General features: G+C 44.5%; 1 protein-coding gene and 1 long non-coding RNA gene across 4 annotated transcripts in view, besides 4 other annotated features; both read left to right on the top strand.

Moving 5' to 3' along the window:
• The window catches only part of XYLT1 (xylosyltransferase 1), a 369,192-nt gene that overhangs the window by 529 nt on the left and 350,500 nt on the right, over positions 1-18,163 (top strand). The gene's annotated exons all lie outside the window — the stretch shown is intronic.
• Positions 5-17,960, top strand: LOC107987234 (uncharacterized). The gene is made up of 2 exons (XR_001752091.2): positions 5-3,217; positions 3,349-17,960. It is a non-coding gene; the product is annotated as an uncharacterized LOC107987234 (long non-coding RNA).
• Positions 253-302: an enhancer, noted in NCBI's record as "active region_10512". NCBI's record gives its function as "activates an Ori minimal core promoter by ATAC-STARR-seq in GM12878 lymphoblastoid cells {active_cell/tissue: GM12878}" and the evidence as "EXISTENCE:reporter gene assay evidence [ECO:0000049][PMID:35858748]".
• Positions 423-692: an enhancer, noted in NCBI's record as "active region_10511". NCBI's record gives its function as "activates an Ori minimal core promoter by ATAC-STARR-seq in GM12878 lymphoblastoid cells {active_cell/tissue: GM12878}" and the evidence as "EXISTENCE:reporter gene assay evidence [ECO:0000049][PMID:35858748]".
• Positions 2,288-2,357: an enhancer, noted in NCBI's record as "active region_10510". NCBI's record gives its function as "activates an Ori minimal core promoter by ATAC-STARR-seq in GM12878 lymphoblastoid cells {active_cell/tissue: GM12878}" and the evidence as "EXISTENCE:reporter gene assay evidence [ECO:0000049][PMID:35858748]".
• Positions 8,258-8,307: an enhancer, noted in NCBI's record as "active region_10509". NCBI's record gives its function as "activates an Ori minimal core promoter by ATAC-STARR-seq in GM12878 lymphoblastoid cells {active_cell/tissue: GM12878}" and the evidence as "EXISTENCE:reporter gene assay evidence [ECO:0000049][PMID:35858748]".

Genomic DNA, 18,163 nt, shown 5'->3' with positions numbered 1-18,163 from the left:
AAGATGCCCTTTCGGCTCGCGCCCCGCGGCGAGGGAGGGAGGAAGGCAGCCCGACCCCACGCCCCCCTAGCCCTTGAACTCGGTCATCAGACTGGGACTCTGCAAGCCTACCGACTCCACATCGCCTCTTGCCCCGGGAAGCCGGGTGGGGTCCCTGCCAAGGCTCAGGGGTCGTGGGCTGCCCCTTTCAGAGTCTGAGCACGGACCCCTTGGGGTCTGGGGGAAGTTTTCTCCAGCGGGGGCGCTTTGGGGGTTACCGGAGCCTGGCTGGGTTCCTGTTCCCCATCACTCTTGCTGGGGACCCCAGGTGACTTGCTCCGTGCGTGTAGGTCTTGGTGACTCGCTCCCTGCCTGAGTGAGTGGATCTCCCCGGATCCTCAGCCGCTGTTCCTGGGCGGTTGTCGCAGCAGCATCTCTCTGGTTTTTGCCGAGCTGGGTGCAGACAGTTGAGCCCTCTGTTCGTCCTGGCCTGCGATGAGGGCTGAGCTGGGCGTCCCAAGTCCCCGACCATGCCCCTGAATCAATACTCAGTCCGGGGTGTCTGGTCTTACTTTGGGTCTTCTGTTTCTCTTCTCTGGATGTTTGAGCCTTCCGTCTTCACCTTCTCTGTCTCTAACCTTGCCGTCTCCCATGCCCTCTGTGACTTTATCTCCTCCCCATCTCCAGTTTCAGGGCATGGCTCCTTCTCCTAGCTGGTTGTCTCTGTCTTTCTGTCTTGTTGCGGCCGGTTCAGGTCACCAGCTGTGTGTCCGACCACACCGTCAGGGCTTCCACTCCTATGGGATTACTTTGCCCTTCGTGGGTGTGAACAGTCAGGGCTCTGAAACTGTTTTTTCCGCAGATCTGGGGCCATCTGGGTGGCTGGGTGGGGAACTGACTTGTCTTCCTACCCTGTCCCTAACTTCTCCAGGGATACCTTTCCCACCTTCTCTGGGCTGCCTTGCCCAGCCTACTGAGCTAGGAGCAGGAGCACATGGGGCAGGAGGCCGGAGTCCCCATTTCAGAGCCAAGGTCTCAGTTCTCCAGGGGCGTGAGTTCTGCCTTAGGGCATAGCCAATGTGTTGTGTGTCTGTCTGTTTCTTCATCACACTACTTGTCTGCAAGGATTTGCCTAGCCGTTAAAGGATATTAGACACCAGGGGGATGGTTTCAGGATCCTGAAGACTGAATGCATATTTCTATCATTTGTCACTTTGGAAGTCCTCACTGAAGACTGCCTTAGTACACAGCGTGATGCTTTCTGAGCTGCTAAACTTCTTCGGAGTCTGTGCGACCCTTTCTGCCGGAGTGCAGCTCTTCATGCCTGAGAACTGAGCCAGTCCCAAGACGTGATGTGATGGCATTTCACGTTGCTGTGTGGGTAGCAGGGAGAAGTCTTTCCCTCATTTGCGGGGAGAATAGTGGCGTGAGCTGCCTGACGGAGAACCAGAACATTCCTAGTGTCCTGCGATCTCTTCTTTACAGAGAGGGGTACTCTGAAACGCTGCCTTTGAACTCTTGGAGTTGATAGTGATGGGTTCCCGCAGAAATGCAATTAGAAGTTCTTTGTGCATCCAGAGCCCAGGAGGTGGGGTGGGAGGGTTGTGGGTCGTGTCCTGCTGGTCCAGTGTAAGAACGTGTAGGGGAGACATGGTGGGGGAAGCCTGGGGCTTACTGTATCATTTGCATCTGGGGGTCAGAGTGGGTTCAGGAGGTACCTTTAGGATGCATGTAGCACCTGTTGAAACAAATGAAGAGAAGGAAGGAGGCAGGGCTAGCTGATTTCTTCATAGGTCCCCGGCATTGTGAGCATCCACCCCCAGCCCCTCTCTGTGTGCTCGGCTCAGTGTTTTACTCTCTCACACCCAGCTCAGCCTCTGAGAGATCTGCGGTTGGGGAGGTAGGTGGGAACACACTATTTTCCTTTTTACTTCCTTTTGGAATTGCAGTTCCAGCAGCGGAGGTGCTTTGCTTTTCTGAAACTCTGCTTCCAACTGCAAGTTCAGTTACTCTCCCCAAATCTGCATGTCCTAATGTCTCAATTTCTTTACCTTCCAAGATGGACATTTATGTATTTTTTTTTTCTTTTGGTTCTCTTCTCTTCTTGGTGGCTGTCTACCATGCTGTTGACTGTTGTCTCTTGGGGCTTTGTATTTTATTTCATTTGCTTGTCTCCTTTCTTTCCTCTCCCCCCACACCTACTCCATGACCTGCTAAATCCTGAAATCACAGTACAGACAGGCTGGCTGGAGCCCGGGGTCTGTCCTACTCTGACTGTGCCCACCCAGTTCCTGCCCTTCCATGGAGCTCCAGGAGACCAGAAGGGGGCAGGCTGTTCCCAAAGTCTGGTATAGCTGGAGCTTGGGTTGCAGGCAAGGAGAGGACCAGACCTTTTCGCAAGCAATAGAGGCCGTTGAAATGTGCAGTTTGTTTCCAGACCCTGCGGAGGCTGCCAGGATGATGCTTTGGAGGGAGATTCAGGAGTGGGACATTTAAAGAAACAAATCCCCGTGATTTTCCAGATGGCTCTTGTAGAGAGGTGGTTAGACACATGCTTAGAAGAAGATGCTTTAGCTCAGTGCTCTGTTGCAGGTGGGGATGGGGTGGGTGGACAGCCTTGGCTCTTGCATGTAGAGGGAACCTGTGTCCTGGGTTGCTGGTGGGTGTGTTGCAGAGAGTGTCAGGCAGGCATTGTGTATAGGGCATTTCCTAAGCCAGATCTTCCTCCTTCCTGATGCCCACAGCCTCAGAGCATTTGTCCTTTTTATGTTTGGGGAGCTGCGCTTCGGTGGAAGGCCCTGATTGTATTTTTGGTGCACTTAAGAAGCCAAGAGGAAACACCCCGTTTCTCAAGTAGACAGAGTCAGAGGGCATGTCCATAAAAGATTTGCAAGCTCTCCTTTTCCTCTCAGCCTCTTTTAAAGCTCTTAAATATTAGAATTATTGGGTGGATTGCAGCTGTTTTGTGGCTGACACTGATTCCTTCACTGGGTCTCCAGTAAGCTGTGGATTTTACTGTCATCTCAGAATTTAAGAAACAGATGGACTCCCTTATAAAGGGAGGAAAAATATTGGGAGAACTGTCACAAGGATCAGCCTACAGGTTCTGAATAGATTTTGGAGAAAATGAAAGAGAGCTGCGTGTGTTAATGTAATGAATGTTTATTTTCTTTCCCTTAGTGACTCTTCTTGAAGTCCCCACATTTATTGCTCGTGTTCTTAGATAAACTGTTACTCAGTAAGTTTCATTTAAGAAATCTAATTTTTTATTACCCTTCCCACCCCCCGCCTGCCGCCCTACATAAGCACACAAAGTAGAATGGGGTTTCTGTATTATCCGACGCCTTTGAAATGTTGATTTTTCGGCAGAAATTCCTCATGCTTCACATTACTCAGATAACTCAGGACTCTTTTAGACATCAGCAGTGACTTTGAAAGATCGGTTCACTGGCTTTAGATCACCTCTGCTTCTAACAGCCTTGGAGGTATAGCTTTTCTTCCTATCCAGATGTTCTGAGACCACAGAAAACAGGGTATGTTATTGATGGTTCGTTTTTTTTTTCACACTTTCAATGGAGTTTTGTTTTGTTTGAGCGACGCATTACACTTTGTATACAGAAATATGCATCATTGAATAATATTTATCTTACTGCAAATGTTGCCATCTGTTTATCATGGAAAGTGTTAAAATAGATAAATAAAAGTAGAAATAATATACGTAGGTATAGATATGTTTGTAATATGAATTCTAATATATCTATGTATTCACTTTCCTTCCGGTCTTTTCATACTTTAGACGTTCTCTTCAGTTTATCAATTCATTTTTTAAAAATCTTCCAGAAGGGTGGGTGGTCAAAGGCTTGCTATTTTTCACCTAGGAAGCCAGCCATGGCGTAAGTTCTTATTTACTGGTGACTGTTCAAGTTTGATTCATGGTTTTAATAGAAGAGGAAATTTGGTGGCTTGAGTTAAAGCAGAGATTTGACATCATCGCGTCATTGTGTATGTGTGTGTGTATCCTCAGAAAGCAAAGATATCCTTAGGCATATCTCTGACATAAGAGTCTGCCCCCCACACCCCGCTCCAGAGCTGTTTATGATCCATAAGGTCATAAATCCATCTATATGAGTGTTTCAGTGCAGAAGAACTTAACACACACACCTGTTGGACTGCACAGGTGAGGTTGAGAGTCTCTATCTTTTGACCAGTGCTACCTTAAGAGCTGCCACTTATGATCTCTCTCTTTCCTTTTCCTTTGCATTTCCCCATTTCTGCGGACCCAGATCCCCATCTACCAGAAACAAAGAGAAAATGCCTTGGGGAAAATAAAAAATAACTAAAAAACAAACTCGATCTTAACAAAACCTGCATTCTAAGGAAGGGGTGTGGGAACAGGAGAAAACGTCCCAACAAGTATGTGCGAGGCCCCGGCACCAATGAAAGAGGCCTCTGTTGAGTACCCTCAGGCCTGACATACCTGGGTTCACCTCCTGGCTCGGCCCTTTCTCATGCCCCTAATCTTGGGCAAGTCACTGTAATTTCGGTCCTCTGTGAATCTGAGCTACCTCATAGGGCTGTATGAGGATGAAATGTAGCAATATATGTGAACTCATGTGGGCCTGTTCCTTAATCAGTGTTCAAAAATGAGCTGTTCTTAAAAGGAAATTCTTGGTATGTTTGAAAATAAGGAATTTCTTGCAGTTATTCATTTTCCCGTACAGTGTAGGGTGCGAGTAAATCCAAGGCAGTAGAATGAATATAGCTGTTTCTGTGTGAGCAGGACGGAATGTGGTAGAGGAAGGAGTACTGACATTTATTGAGTGCCTGCTGTATGTCAGGTGTCATTTAGGTATTTTGCATACGTTAGGTTATTAAATGCTCACCCCCCCCCCCCCCAAAAAAAAACACAAAAAATTTCCAGGAAGGAAGACGGTATTACACAACTGATAAAAAGTTAAAACTAAGGACACCCAACTAGAAATCGCTGGTCTTATGATGGCTTGTTATGTGGCAGGAATAATGGAGGGATTTGTAAATGTTACCTTACTGTCTTACTGATTTCTCCCAACTTTGTGGGATAAGACTTTTGCTGTCCCCAGGAGGAAACTGAAGCTCAAAGAAGTGAAGCTGCTTGCTCATGAAGTTCACAGAGCTGGGGAGTAGCAGAACTGAGATCCAAACCCAGGCCTGCCCCTTTCCAAAGATGCCACCTTTCCGAGTTGCGTTCCTTTTGCATGGTTTGTTGAAAAACCCTAAATGCAACCATGCATTCCCAAAAATCTTTTTTTTTTTTTTTTTTTTTTTTTTTTGAGACAGCATCTTGCTCTGTCACCCAGGCTGGAGGGCAGTGGCGTGATCTCGGCTCACTGCAACCTCCGCCTCCTAGGTTCAAGCAATTCTTGTGCCTCAGCCTCCTGAGTAGCTGGGATTACAGGCGTGCACCACCACGCCTGGCTAATTTTTGTATTTTAGTAGAGACAGGGTTTCACCATGTTGGCCAGGCTGCTCTCGAACTCCTGGCCTCGTGATCCGCCCGCCTCGGCCTCCCAAAATGCTGGGACTACAGGCCTGAGCCACTTTGCCCAGCCCCAAAAATCTTTATTCTACTTTTCTCACTTCTTGTTGCAGATTCCTAAAAAGTTACCAACCCTAGAAAAGAAGCAGACATGCAATTTATATTGAATCAGACCCCTAACTCATGATGCAAATACAAGGGTAGTAATAATGATAATAATAATAATAATGACTGCATGGCAGTTATGATGTGTTAGGTGGTTTTAAAAATGGATATATAATAGTTTGACATATTTTGGGGTACATGTGATATTTTGATAGGTTCATATAATGTGTAATGATTAACTTAAAGTAATTGGGATATTCATTACCGCCAACATTTATCTTTACTTTTTTGTCAGAGACACTGAAATTCTTCTCTTCTAGCTCCTTTTTTTTTTTTTTTTTTTGAGACAGTTTTGCTCTGTTGCCCGGCCTGGAGTGCAGTGGCACAATCTTGACTCACTGCTACCTCCGCCTCTCAGGTTCAAGCAATTCTCCTGCCTCAGCCTCCTGATTAGCTGGGATTACAGGCACCCGCCACCACACCTGGCTAATTCTGTTTGTATTTTTAGTAGAGATGAGGTTTTGCCGTGTTGGCCAGGCTGGTCTTAAACTCCTGGCCTCAGGTGATCTGCCTGCCTTGGCCTCCCAAAGTGCTGGGATTATAGATGTGAGCCACTGTGCCCGGGTCTTCTAGCTATTTTGAAATATACAATAGATTATTGTTAATGATAATCACCCTACTGGACTACCAAACACTAGAGCTTATTCCTTCTATCTAACTGGATTTTTATCCTTCCAATCAACATCTTCCTCCCTACTCCCCTAATCACCTATCTACTCTCTATCTTCTTGTCATCTACTTTTTTTAGCTCCTACATAGGAGTGAGAACATGTGATATTTGTCTCTAAGTGCCTGGCTTATTTCAGTTAGTATGATGGCCTCCGGTTTATTCATGTTGCTGCAAATGACAGGATTTCACTTTTTAACAGCTGGCTAATATTCCACTGTGTGTGTTTACCACATTTTCTTTATCCATTCATCCACCGATGGGCACTTAACTTGATTTCATATCTTGGCTATTGTGAAGAATGTTGCAGTAAGCATGGGAGTGCAGATAGCTCTTGGATTTATTGATTTCCTTTCCTTTGGATAATTAATCCTTTCCTGTGTAGACACAGTAGTGGGATTGCCAGATCATATGGTAGTTCTGTTTTTAGCTTGTGAAGAACCTTCATACTCTTCTCCATAGTGGCTGTACTAATTTACATTCCCACCAACAGTGTATGAGTGTTCCATTTTCTCACATCCTCACCAGCGTCTGTTATTTTTTGTCTTCTTGATAAAAGCCCTTTCAGGTGGGGTGAGATGATATCTCACTGTGCTTTTGACTCACAGTTCCCTGGTGATTAGTGATGCTGTGCATTTTTTTATATATCCATTGGCCATTCGTATGTCTTCTTTTGAGAAATATCTGTTCAGCTCTTTTGCCTGTTTAAAAAATTGGACTACTTGTTTTTTTGCTGTTGAGTTGTTTGAGTTCTTTATATATTTTGGTTATTAATCCCTTGTCAGATGGGTAGTTTGCAAATATTTTCTTCCATTTTGTAGATTATTTAATTTGTTGATTGTTTGCCGTGCAGAAGCTTTGTAGCTTGATGTGATCCCGTTTGTCTATTTTTGCTTTTGTTGCCTGTGCTTTTGTGGTCTTACCCAAAAAAAATTCTTGCTCAGCGTCCTGAAGTGTCTCCCCAATGTTTTTTTCTCTAGTCGTCTCATAGTCTCGGGTCTTAGATTTAAGTCTTTAATCTATTTTGATTTGGTTTTTGTGTATGGTGAGTGATGGGGCCTAGTTTCATTCTTAAGTTTATCCATAGGTAATGGCTATCCCGTTTTTCCAGCACTACTTATCGAAGACTTTCCTTTCCCCAGCCTTTGTCAAAAATGAGTTGATATTAAAGTGTGGGTTTATTTCTGCGTTCTCTATTCTGTTTGCCAGGCACTGTTCTAAACCCTCTTTGTGCATGAACTCATTTAATCCTTCAAGCTGTGTACTATTATATTTTCAACAGTCAAGAATGGAAGTTGAAATTGGCTAGAGAGAGGAGTCTTGAATTCAGCTCTCTCTAACCAAGGGAGAAGCGGAGGAGGGGGCAAGAGGATATTGTTCAGGGTTCTTTGGCCGGGGACAATGGCCTTTCTTTCAACCACAACAGACTTCCTGCTGCTCCATTCCTTCAGACCGCTCTGTGGTTGGCCCACTGAGGAGCCCGCCACTTGTACCTGAGAGCCTGGGTCTGCAGCACACTGGAGAGTTACCTCAATAAACATGCAGTGCGGATCATCTTGCGGACACTTCCTTCCGCCTGCAACAGAAACTACCCGTTTGCCCGCAGATGCTCATCAGATGGTGCCCATGTGCTCTCTGGGTTCGGTTGCCCCCTTCCCGATTGGAAGCCAGAGGCATCACAAAGAAGATGGGTGTGGGGTGGGGTGTCACCTTAGCCCTGAACCTGGACACTGGCATTATTAGTGTCAGGAACTGCAAACCCAGACACCCTGCCAGATGAGGAAGGGGTGGGACCCATTCTCAAGCTTTGTGTGTGTGGACGAGGGTGTCTCATCTTTCAGGGCCACCTAGGGGCAATGAATGGATTTGTCCTGTCCCAGGCCTAGTTTGTCCCAGCCAGGTGACTACTGCTTATCTGGACATCTAATCCAGGCTAATGTGTCAGTGGATGCTAATGAGGTAATGTGGTAAGAGGCATTTGTTTCTCCTCCCAGGGCACGCTTTGCCATAATTTTTGGCCACAAGATGTGTGGTTTCAGTTTAAGATGAGTTTGTGGGGCAGAGAGGTTGATGCAAATGTTCCCTACCCAGGAGGCACAAACATTGCAACTATGGTGATGATGAGGTGCATTTATCGAATGCACCAAACACTGTGGAAGGACTAAAAAGACATGCTTTTATTGAATTCTTATAACATCTGGCAAGTTAAGAGCTATTATTTTCATTTCTGTTTTACTGATTGAAATAATGAAAACTAAGGCAATAAGTTGGATGAAAATTAAGCAGATGTGAAGTGTCCAAACTAGAAATTGAAGTTGGGTGGTGTCTCCAAAGGCTGTGTTCTCAGTCTACCCAGTTCAGAGTCAGTAAGTCCGTTGACTCTAGCCCCTCATTCTCCCCCTGCCTCCATCTATTTATGCATGCATTTGTCCACCCATCCATCCATCCATCCATCCATCAGTCCATTCATCTATTTGTCTAAGCATCCATCCATCCATCTATCCGTCCATTCATCCATCCTCTGTCCATTCATCCATCCATCTGTCCATCCATTTACCCATCGATCCATTCATCCACCTATCTACCCATCCTCCACTCCTGCAGTTAGAAGGTACCAGTCCCTGTGTCCAGCACTGGAACCACCTTGGTGAACAGGACCAATGTGCCTCCTGCCCTCCAGGAGGACCAGTCTAGCAGGCAAGAGTTAGAGCCCGTGCTGATAAGTGGCCGATCTCTAGGGAGATCACTCTCACATCCTAGCCTGGTTCATTGCCTATACCCTTTCCCATGGTGACCTCTTGAACACACAAGGGAGGTGTCCTCTGGGAAGGTCAGGGCAAGGAGTAAGTAGTATGATTCAGAGCCCTGGGAGCCCTGAGGTCTCTGCCATCCCAGAACTGTCCATGAGGCCTGGGCTGCTCTGCTCATGGGGCCCAAGCTCTTCTTCTTGTAGCTCATGAAACAACCCTGGAAATGATCCAGGGGAGCAGATGGGCAGATGCTGTGGGGCCTGGGAGGCAGGTCGTGTGATGTTGAGGAAGAAGACAGTGGTCTGACATCATCGGTGGTATGGCACTTTGCCTCTCTGGAGCTCAGTCTCCTTGTCTGAAGCACAGGGGCCATGATGGCACCTACCTGGCAGGGCTTGATGGTGAGGCACAGCTCTGGGTCATGGTCAGTGCTCTGCTCTGCCACCTGATGCAGCCACATCGTAGGAGATGTTTGCTAGAGCCAGGAGGACTTTCAAATCCATGGCCCGTGGGTGGGTTTGATTTTGTCCACACGGTGTGTTAGAATAAATAGGCCCTGGAATTTAAAGATTAGGATATGCCGTGAGACAGCGTAGATTTTTGGAATTCTTTTAAAAGTCATAAGATCCGGCAATACAGGGTCCACGGTGCTTGCTTGGTGTTAAACAGCCAAGCTGAGGAATGGTGATACTGCAGACCCACTGGGTCCCTAAGAGTCCCCCTAAGATCTCTCCTGTCACCTGTGGCACCTGGCTGGCCCCTCTTGGCTGTTGAGTTTGCAGCCCATTTGGAAGACCTCCGTGTTCACTATGAAGACATAAAAATGAGCATCTGTGGTTACCCTATTCCCATGTGGCTTATTCACTGCACTTATTTGCCTCTCACTGCCTGTGCCTTGCCCTGGCATGATGGAGTCTCCCTCCCCGCCTAGCTGGTGGTGGAGACCCAGAATATGCAAATTCTTATAAGCATGAGGCCATCCTGAAGGCAAATGTCCCCGACAGAAATAGAATCATGCATTCCGCAATTTGATAAACCTGTTTCCCCTCTGCAGGGAGTGTGAGTGACAGCCTCCTTTGAGTCATCTGCCCCTCACTCTGTGTTTCCCGTGACCTTGTCCCCCAATAACACGCATTGGGAAGTTGGGAGTCTTTAGAGACAAGGGGGAGGTGGAAAAGTAGAACATTCCTGAGCACCTTGGCTTGGTCCCAGCGCTGTCAGGGACGGACCGTGACTTTCATCTCTGTGTCTTTTTGGCACTTCATCAGATGATGCTAATAAGCCTGCCTCCCTCCCTGGGTTGTGAGGATTAAATTTGATAAACAGATGAGAAAGTGCTTTGAAGCTCAGAAAGCCCCATGTGAATGGAAGACGGGGCTCATGTCTTCAAGCAGCACAATGTGGGAGTGTTCAGACGGGGTTGTCTGCGTTCCTTCCTCACAGCGTCTTGTAACCCGTGGGGGACAGGGAGAGAATGAATGAGTGAAATCCACTGGAAATTTCCCACCTACTCATCCATTCATTCATCAGATACTGGTTGGGGTCTGCTGTGTGCCAGGCCTTATGCACAGCAGGGGGAAAGACAGATGTGACCCTGCCCTCATGCTCTTTATGGTTTGGGGGCAGGATGACCTCCCAATAAAAACAAACAAGAACATTGCAAAAAATCAGATTGTTACAAATGCAGCGAAGGAAACCATTAGGGAGCTGAACGAAAAGAAAGAGCTGTGGATAAGCATTTGTTTTGGATGGGTGGATTTATTTTACTTATTCAGGGGTAAGGATTTATTTTGGATCATGCCTTTTGCCATAGTAGTCCTAAACGAGCCCCAGGAATCCAAAATATGGTATAGACACCAATCGTGATGCACCAGTGGTTGGAGGTGCTACAAGGGCAGATATTCTGTAAAAACTCTTTATAAAAAGTTACTATTCGTATCTGTACAACATTTATTCACTTCTTAAATTTATTTGTTAATTTATTGAGACAGGGACTCCTTACGTCACCCCGGCTAGAATGCAGTGGTTTGATCTCAGCTCACTGCAACCTTGACCTCGCAGGCTCAAGCAGTCCTCCCACCTCAGCCCCCTGAGTAGGTGGGACTACAGGTGCGTGCCACCATGCCCGGCTAATTTTTGTATTTTTTGAAGAGGTGGGGTTTTGCTATGTTGCCCAGGCTGGTCTGGAACTCCTGGGATCAAGTGATCCTCCCACCTCAGCCTCCCAAACTGCTGGGATTACAGGCGTGAGCCACCACGTCTGGCTCACTTCTTAAATATTGCCTGCGTTCTTTTAGTTGCTTTTTTCCCAACAAAACCATATGATACAAACATTACTCTAAATATACAACTTGATGAATTCTCACAAACTGAACACATCCGAGTATCCTAGACCAGGAATCATAGCACTGACAACATCCCAGATGCACTCTCTTCTTCTTGGGTGAATATTTAAAGAAATTATTAATCGCTGTATATTTCTTTAAATGTATATTATGGAAAATACAGAAATATAACCAGCCAATCAAAACGGCAGCTTCAACACTCTTCTCGTTTAACATGCAGGTAAAGTGGCATTTAAGTAAGAAGAAGTGGGTTAACAAAATGAAAACACATAAGCAAACTCTAACTGGATTTCAAATCCTGATTGCAGCTTGGTTGGTTAATGACGATCAAGGAAGTGCTGAGATGGCCAAGGTTTGGTCAATGTCAACTTAACCAGTTTGAAGAGTCTTTGCTCCTCTGGTAAACAGCTGTGCTGTTTTGTTCTGAAGTTCAAGTGGAAAGGATTAAAGTTAGATGTTAGGAGGAACTGTGCTCTGGGTCCCTTGGAAAGGAATTCCCCATTGGAGGCCCTCTCTGATGTCTGCATTGCTCCCACAGTTATGGAAAGTAATGGCCCCAGAGCTCCCCATGCCTGTCTTCTGTGACTGAGTTCTGGACATTTCATGTGCGTCTTTTGGATTCACTGTGCATTTGCTTCACGTTGAGTATTTGTACTCTATTCCCCCAAGTGTTGGACATGAAATTAGCATGATGAATGGGTCCCCAAATGGGCCAGTAATGACTACATTAACTTAACCCTGAACCAAGACTCTCCTATTCAGAACCAGGGTAACAGAACCGCAGTACAACGTTAGCAGCAATTCAAAAGGGCATCGGAGACAACTAATCATTTCATAATGAGCGAGGGGAGAAGCAATAAAAGCCGGGAGCCCAAGGACGGCATGATAATTTTGCAGAGTCTCAGCTCTCAACCAGACTCACGTTCATAAAATAAACAAATGTTTTTGGTAATGGAAAGCTAATGTATACATTATTTAAGGATAGTATTAAAACCAGACTAGATGGATCAAGTAATACAACAGTTACCTCATTAAGCATCCTTTCTTTGGGGATGTGAAAAAGTTATTCTTTTTTTTCTTCTTCTTTTTTCCTTTTGAAATGGGGCTTTATTAATTAGAGATGTAATGGGAAATCTTATTTTTTTCCCCAGACTAGTGGCTGTTTTCTGTTTATTTTTTAATGGAGGACTATGCTTTGCAGATGTTCTCTTTGAAATAAAAGCCTATTCATTGTCTCTCTTTTGCACTTTCTTTTATCCTAGCTCAAAAGGGGCAGCTGTTATGAAAGACACTGAGAACCCCGTTTGCTTGTCATCAAGTATTGCAGATGATTCTGTTGTGGATGTAAAATGCTCTTATTGCCTGCTTTTTCTTGTAACCCTATTGAGGGATAGTTTTCAAATTGTGACGTCTGATTTTCTCTTGTTTAGAAGGTGAGTTAAAGACAGAAAGCAGGGAGAGATGTTAAGCTAAACGTCTCCTAAGGAAGGATGTTCAGTGAAAGACTGGGTGGTTTAGAAATGGGTAGAAGTTAGGTTATTCATTCTTCTTTGGCCTGGAGGCTGACTGCTGTTTGGCTTTCTTTTAGAATTAAAGCAAACAAAAAACGCACAACAGCAACATTTGGAGGAAACTGACTGTTTATTGGAGTGAGCAGGCAGATACAGCCCTCCAATGAAGGTGGGTGCTAGAAAGCAGCGATGGGAAATACGTAAGCCAGAAGGAAACCTAGAGCTTTGTGAGTCAGGTGTGGGCTCCAGATGGAATAATGACAGCATAGGGTCCTCTTCCTCCTTTCTTAAAGAAAAGGTAAATTTTAAAAATCAAAACTTGAATTAGTAGCCAAAATCAATGATTTCCAATCCAAATCAAATTTAGAGTGCCTATTAAGAAATTCGAAATTCTGGTCTTCATTCCCAGAGGTAACCATTTGAGTGAGGGGGGATGTGGCTGCCTCGTGTACACGGGCCCACCAGGTCACTTTACTTGTCTGTGTTACCCACAAGATGGCTGTTGGGGTTTGAGTTTGCAACTTTCAGAATGATAATAATAATAATTGCTATTATCTATTAGATGTCACTACGTGGCAGGCACTGTGCTGTACTGAGCAGCGTCTCCTAGATTATCATTTTAATCATTATATCAGCCTTATGATGTGGCTGCTGATAGTATTCCCATCTACAGATGAGGAAATTGAGGCATAGAGAGGGTAAGAAATCACCTGCAGTCACAGAGAAGACTTGGAATTTCAACTCAGCCAGCGTGACTCAGGAGCCTGTGTGTCAAATGCCATGCATGTGCCGCACAGAAAGATGTAACAACTCCCATTAGGTTTTCTTCAGAAGGACACTGCCAGAAAGTTGGTACTGTTGCCGGGCGTGGTGGCACATGCCTGTAATCCCAGCGCTTTGGGAGGCCTAGGTGGGAAGATCGCTGGAGCCCAGGAGTTCAAGACCAGCCTGGGCAACATAGTGGGACCTCGTCTTTACAAAAACATAAAACAATCAATCAGCTGGGCATGGTAGCATGCCTGTAGTTCCAGCTACTTGGGAGGCTGAGGTGGGAGGATCACTTGACCCTGGGAGGTTGAGGCTGCTGTGAGCCGTGATCGCACCACTGCACTCCAGCCTGGGTGACCGAGCAAGATCCTGTCTCCAAAAAAAAAAAAAAAAAAAAAAGGTTTGTACTGTTTGCCTGCTGCAAAGATGGTACCACTGAGACCTAGCAGTGAGTGAACTGAATTGCCCAAGATCAAACCACCACATAGAATGTACAGAGTGACTTATTGCCTGTAAAAAAAAGGTCGAGTGTGAAACTGACTGTGGACGTGGACATCTAGGAAGCTGAAAGTCTGGCTCTGGTAGAAGTACCCTCACCCTGATTCCCATCCTCTGTGTGCACAGAGTGAAGCTGGGGTGACGGCCTCCACCTTCCATCCATAGTCTTGCAGCAGAGAGGTAGCACCTGACACGTAATATTTTGATAAGTTGCTGATTTGTATTAAAATAATAATTACAGCGATAATTACAAGCACGGATTTCACTGAGACTCAGCTGCTGACGGTGAGAAAAAATAATTAATTGCGTATTCTCTGGAAATCAAATGGAAGCCAGACCTGGCCTTTTTCCTTTGTGAGAGTCCAGCGCAGGTTTTGCTGTAGGTTGAAGGCCATGTATTTTGCCAGATGCTGTTTATGTTAATAGTATTGATGGTAGATTTCCATGCGAGGAGTCGCTGGTAATTGGGTGAACATCATCTTTATGCGCAGACGCCGCAGAAAATAGCCTGGCCGGATTCTGATGGTAGCACCATCCCTTAAACCATGAAACAAACTCCACCCTGGAAGTAAACACAATAATAGAGGAAAACAATTTAAATCTACCTTTTATTTATTTATTTATTTATTTATTTATTTATTTATTTATTTAGAGATGGAGTCTCACTGTTGCCTAGGCTGGTCTCGGACTTCTGACCTCAAGTGATTCGCCCACCTAGGCCTCCCAGAGTGCTGGGATTACAGGTGTGAGCTGCTGTGCCCAGCCATTATTATTAAATATTCTTAAGTACTCTAGCATTGGCAGGTACCTGGCCATCATGAAGAAGTCATAACTAATTTAATTTGATTGCTCTCGTTCTCTTTATACTTCTGTTTTTGAAGCTGATTGAATTGTAAGCTACTTTATTATAAAAACTTGCTAAACTTCTCTTGAAGTAGAACATGCATGAGAAAGAATGCAGAAATCATGAATAAACAGCTCCAGAAAGGGATCACGCCCAACTAACCAGCACCCGAATTCAGAGCCCACCAGCCCCCGGGATCCCGGCCACGTCCACTCTGACCCCATGCCTGCAAGGATAGGGTCTCTATCGTGACTTCTAACCCCACCAGGTACTTTTGCCTCTTTTTAGAAATGGAATCATACAGTCTGTACTCTTTTGTGCCTGGTTTGTTTTGGTTAACATTGCGTCTGGGAGTTTTATCTCTGTCCAGGGTTGGCGAACCCCAGCTTACAAGCCAAATCTGGTCCTTTGCCTGTTTTCATATGGCCTGTGAGCTAAGGATGGATTTTATGTTTTTAAATAGTTGCGGGGGGGGGCGGGGGGGGGAGGAAAGAATGATATTTTGTGACGCGTGAAAATTATATGAAATTCAAATTTGTGTCCACAAATTGACTGGGCATGGTGGCTCATGCCTGTAATCCCAGCACTTTGTGGGGCCGAGGTGGGTGGGTCACTTGGGGCCAGAAGTTTGCTACCAGCCTGACCAACATGGTTGAAACCCCATCTCTACTAAAAGGTACAAAAAAATAGCTGGGTGTGGTGGTTGATGCCTGTAATCCCAGCTACTCAGGTGGCTGAGGCAGGAGAATCACTTGAACCCGGGAGGCAGAGATTGCACTGAGCCAAGATTGTGCCACTGTACTTCAGCCTGGATGACAGAGTAACACTGTATCTCAAAAAAAAAAAAAAAATTGCGATCATAAATAAAGCTTTATTGGAACACAGCCATGTCCATTTCATTTATATATCAGCTATGGCCGCTTTTGTGCTATGACAGCACAATTGAGTAGTTGCAACAAAGACTGTATGGGCCCTAAGCCTAAAACATTTACTATCTGGCCTGTTACCAAAAAGTTTGCTAACCCTATGTCTATATTGGTTCACAGAGTTGTAATTGTTCATTTGCATTATTTCATTGTGGAATATACCACAATTTACATATCCATTCTGTTTATGGGCATTTGGGAAGTTCCCAGTTTGGGGCCATTATAAATAGTGCTGCTGTGAACATTCTTGGACATCTCTTTCGGCAAACATATGCAAACATTTCTGTTGAGTATATACCTAGGAGCGGAATTAATTTAACTACTTTTTTTTTACCAATTGATTTGACAATTATATTTTAATTTGGAAGTCTTACCTTTCAGAGTAGGAAGTAAAGCACAGTAATACTTTCAAATGCTGAAACTCTGTAACAAGGCTTATTTTCATAATTAGTCTTGCAAAATTCAGAGTCCGTAGAAACAGTTTCTTAATTGTCCATTGTTCTTCCATTCTTAGTCCCTTCTAGGCTGTTGGGAACAAGCCCGATGTCAACTGCTTTAGTTGCTTTTGGGAATGGTGCCATCATTTAATTTCTTATACCAAAGCCATATTGTCCACAGCGCTCTTATCTTTATTCAGCAAAACAGGTTTGGCAGAATTAGGTGTTTTTTTTCTAGATGTCACTTTCTGCTTTGATTGACTTCTGTTTATCTCTGGCTTTCTGGTTTTCTTGCTGGGAAGCAGATGAATATAGCCCTGTGTCCCCAATAAGATCTCTAGCCTGCAGTAGCGTGTGTCATTTTACATTGAAACTCTGTGCTGAAATATCCCTTTGGGGACTGCATATGCTGTACATGGCCACAGCATCGGAGCACGGAGACTTCCCCGGAGGTGCTGCCTCAGTGTGCGTTGTCAGCATTGTTTAGAAATGCAGGATCCTGTGTCAGTTTCTGAATGCCAGTCACTTCCCATTTGCTGCTCCACTTTTTGGACACTAGCACTGACAGGGTTGGAAGAGTAAAATTAGGATACCCTAGGATCCACCCATCTTTCAGGTTTGCTTGGTGCTGGCTGAAAAATGACTTAATATTCTTTCTGGGGCTTGTCAAAGAGTCCTGTCCGTTCTTCTCCTAAGCCAACCCACTTTACCAGGAGTAAAGCCCTAGCTGTTGTAGGAGCCTGTCTTCTGATTCTGCCTGGTGCGATGAACAAACTTAAGGAATGGCACAAGAGAAGAAGGTCAGCTGCTGTTTTAGTATTACTTTTGGAATGAAATTTGAATTTAGTGCAGAAAGGATTTGTGGACTTGAAACCCTTGGGCTCAGCTAAAATCCTTTCTATGTGACTCAGGATCTGGAAGCCTCAGTTTTCGTCTTTAAAATAGGGCTGCAAAGCTGCAATGCTATTGTGGTTATGATTCCAGAGTGGAATTCCCAGATGTGAGAAACTTAACCCTTAAATTCTGGTAGTTTGCCTCCTTTCCCTTTAGCTTAATAGGTTGTCTTTTTCTGTTGGAATATTTACTTTTGTTAAGGTAAGACTAGAATTGTAAGTATTCATTGAAACTCTTTACAAAGGTGTGTGTGTGTATGTGTGTGTGTGTGTATTCTAGGGGAAGAACTTCTCTTTTTAAAGACTACTTTCTAGATGTTCTAACGTGCTAATTACAACTGATAATTAACTTGGTCTAAAAAGAATCTTAATAGATTTCAAAAGTAGAAAACTTCCAGGCTTCCTTCATAAAACAATAAGATATATTGAAAATTAGCCTCTAAAAGACAATCGCATAGAAATTTAAACAATCGAAACTCTTCTAAGTAATTCTTAGATCAATGAATAGATTAAATTTGACATTTCAGATTATATATTGATTAGCGAAAATGAAAATACTTCATATCAAAACTTGAGATAAGGTTAAAACTGTGCCCAGAGGAAAACTGGTAGTCTATTTTAAAAGCACTTTAGGTTTTGACATTAAATATGAAAGAGTAAAATAATTAAAATAAAAGTCCATTAAAAAAATAATTGAGGCTGGGATGGTCTCGAACTCCTTGGTCTGAAGCCACCCTCCTGCCTTGGCCTCTCAAAGTTTTGGGATTATAGGTGTGAGCCATGGTGCCAGGCCTGAGACCCTGTTACTAACAAAAAAAAAAAAAAAAAGAAAAAAACTGAGAATCAAACAAAAGAAAGTAGGAAA

Source organism: Homo sapiens, chromosome 16, assembly GCF_000001405.40.
Source record: "Homo sapiens chromosome 16, GRCh38.p14 Primary Assembly".
NCBI lineage: Eukaryota > Metazoa > Chordata > Mammalia > Primates > Hominidae > Homo > Homo sapiens.
The sequence above is the reverse complement of the archived record's forward strand: the minus strand, read 5'-3'. Positions and strand labels throughout refer to the sequence as shown.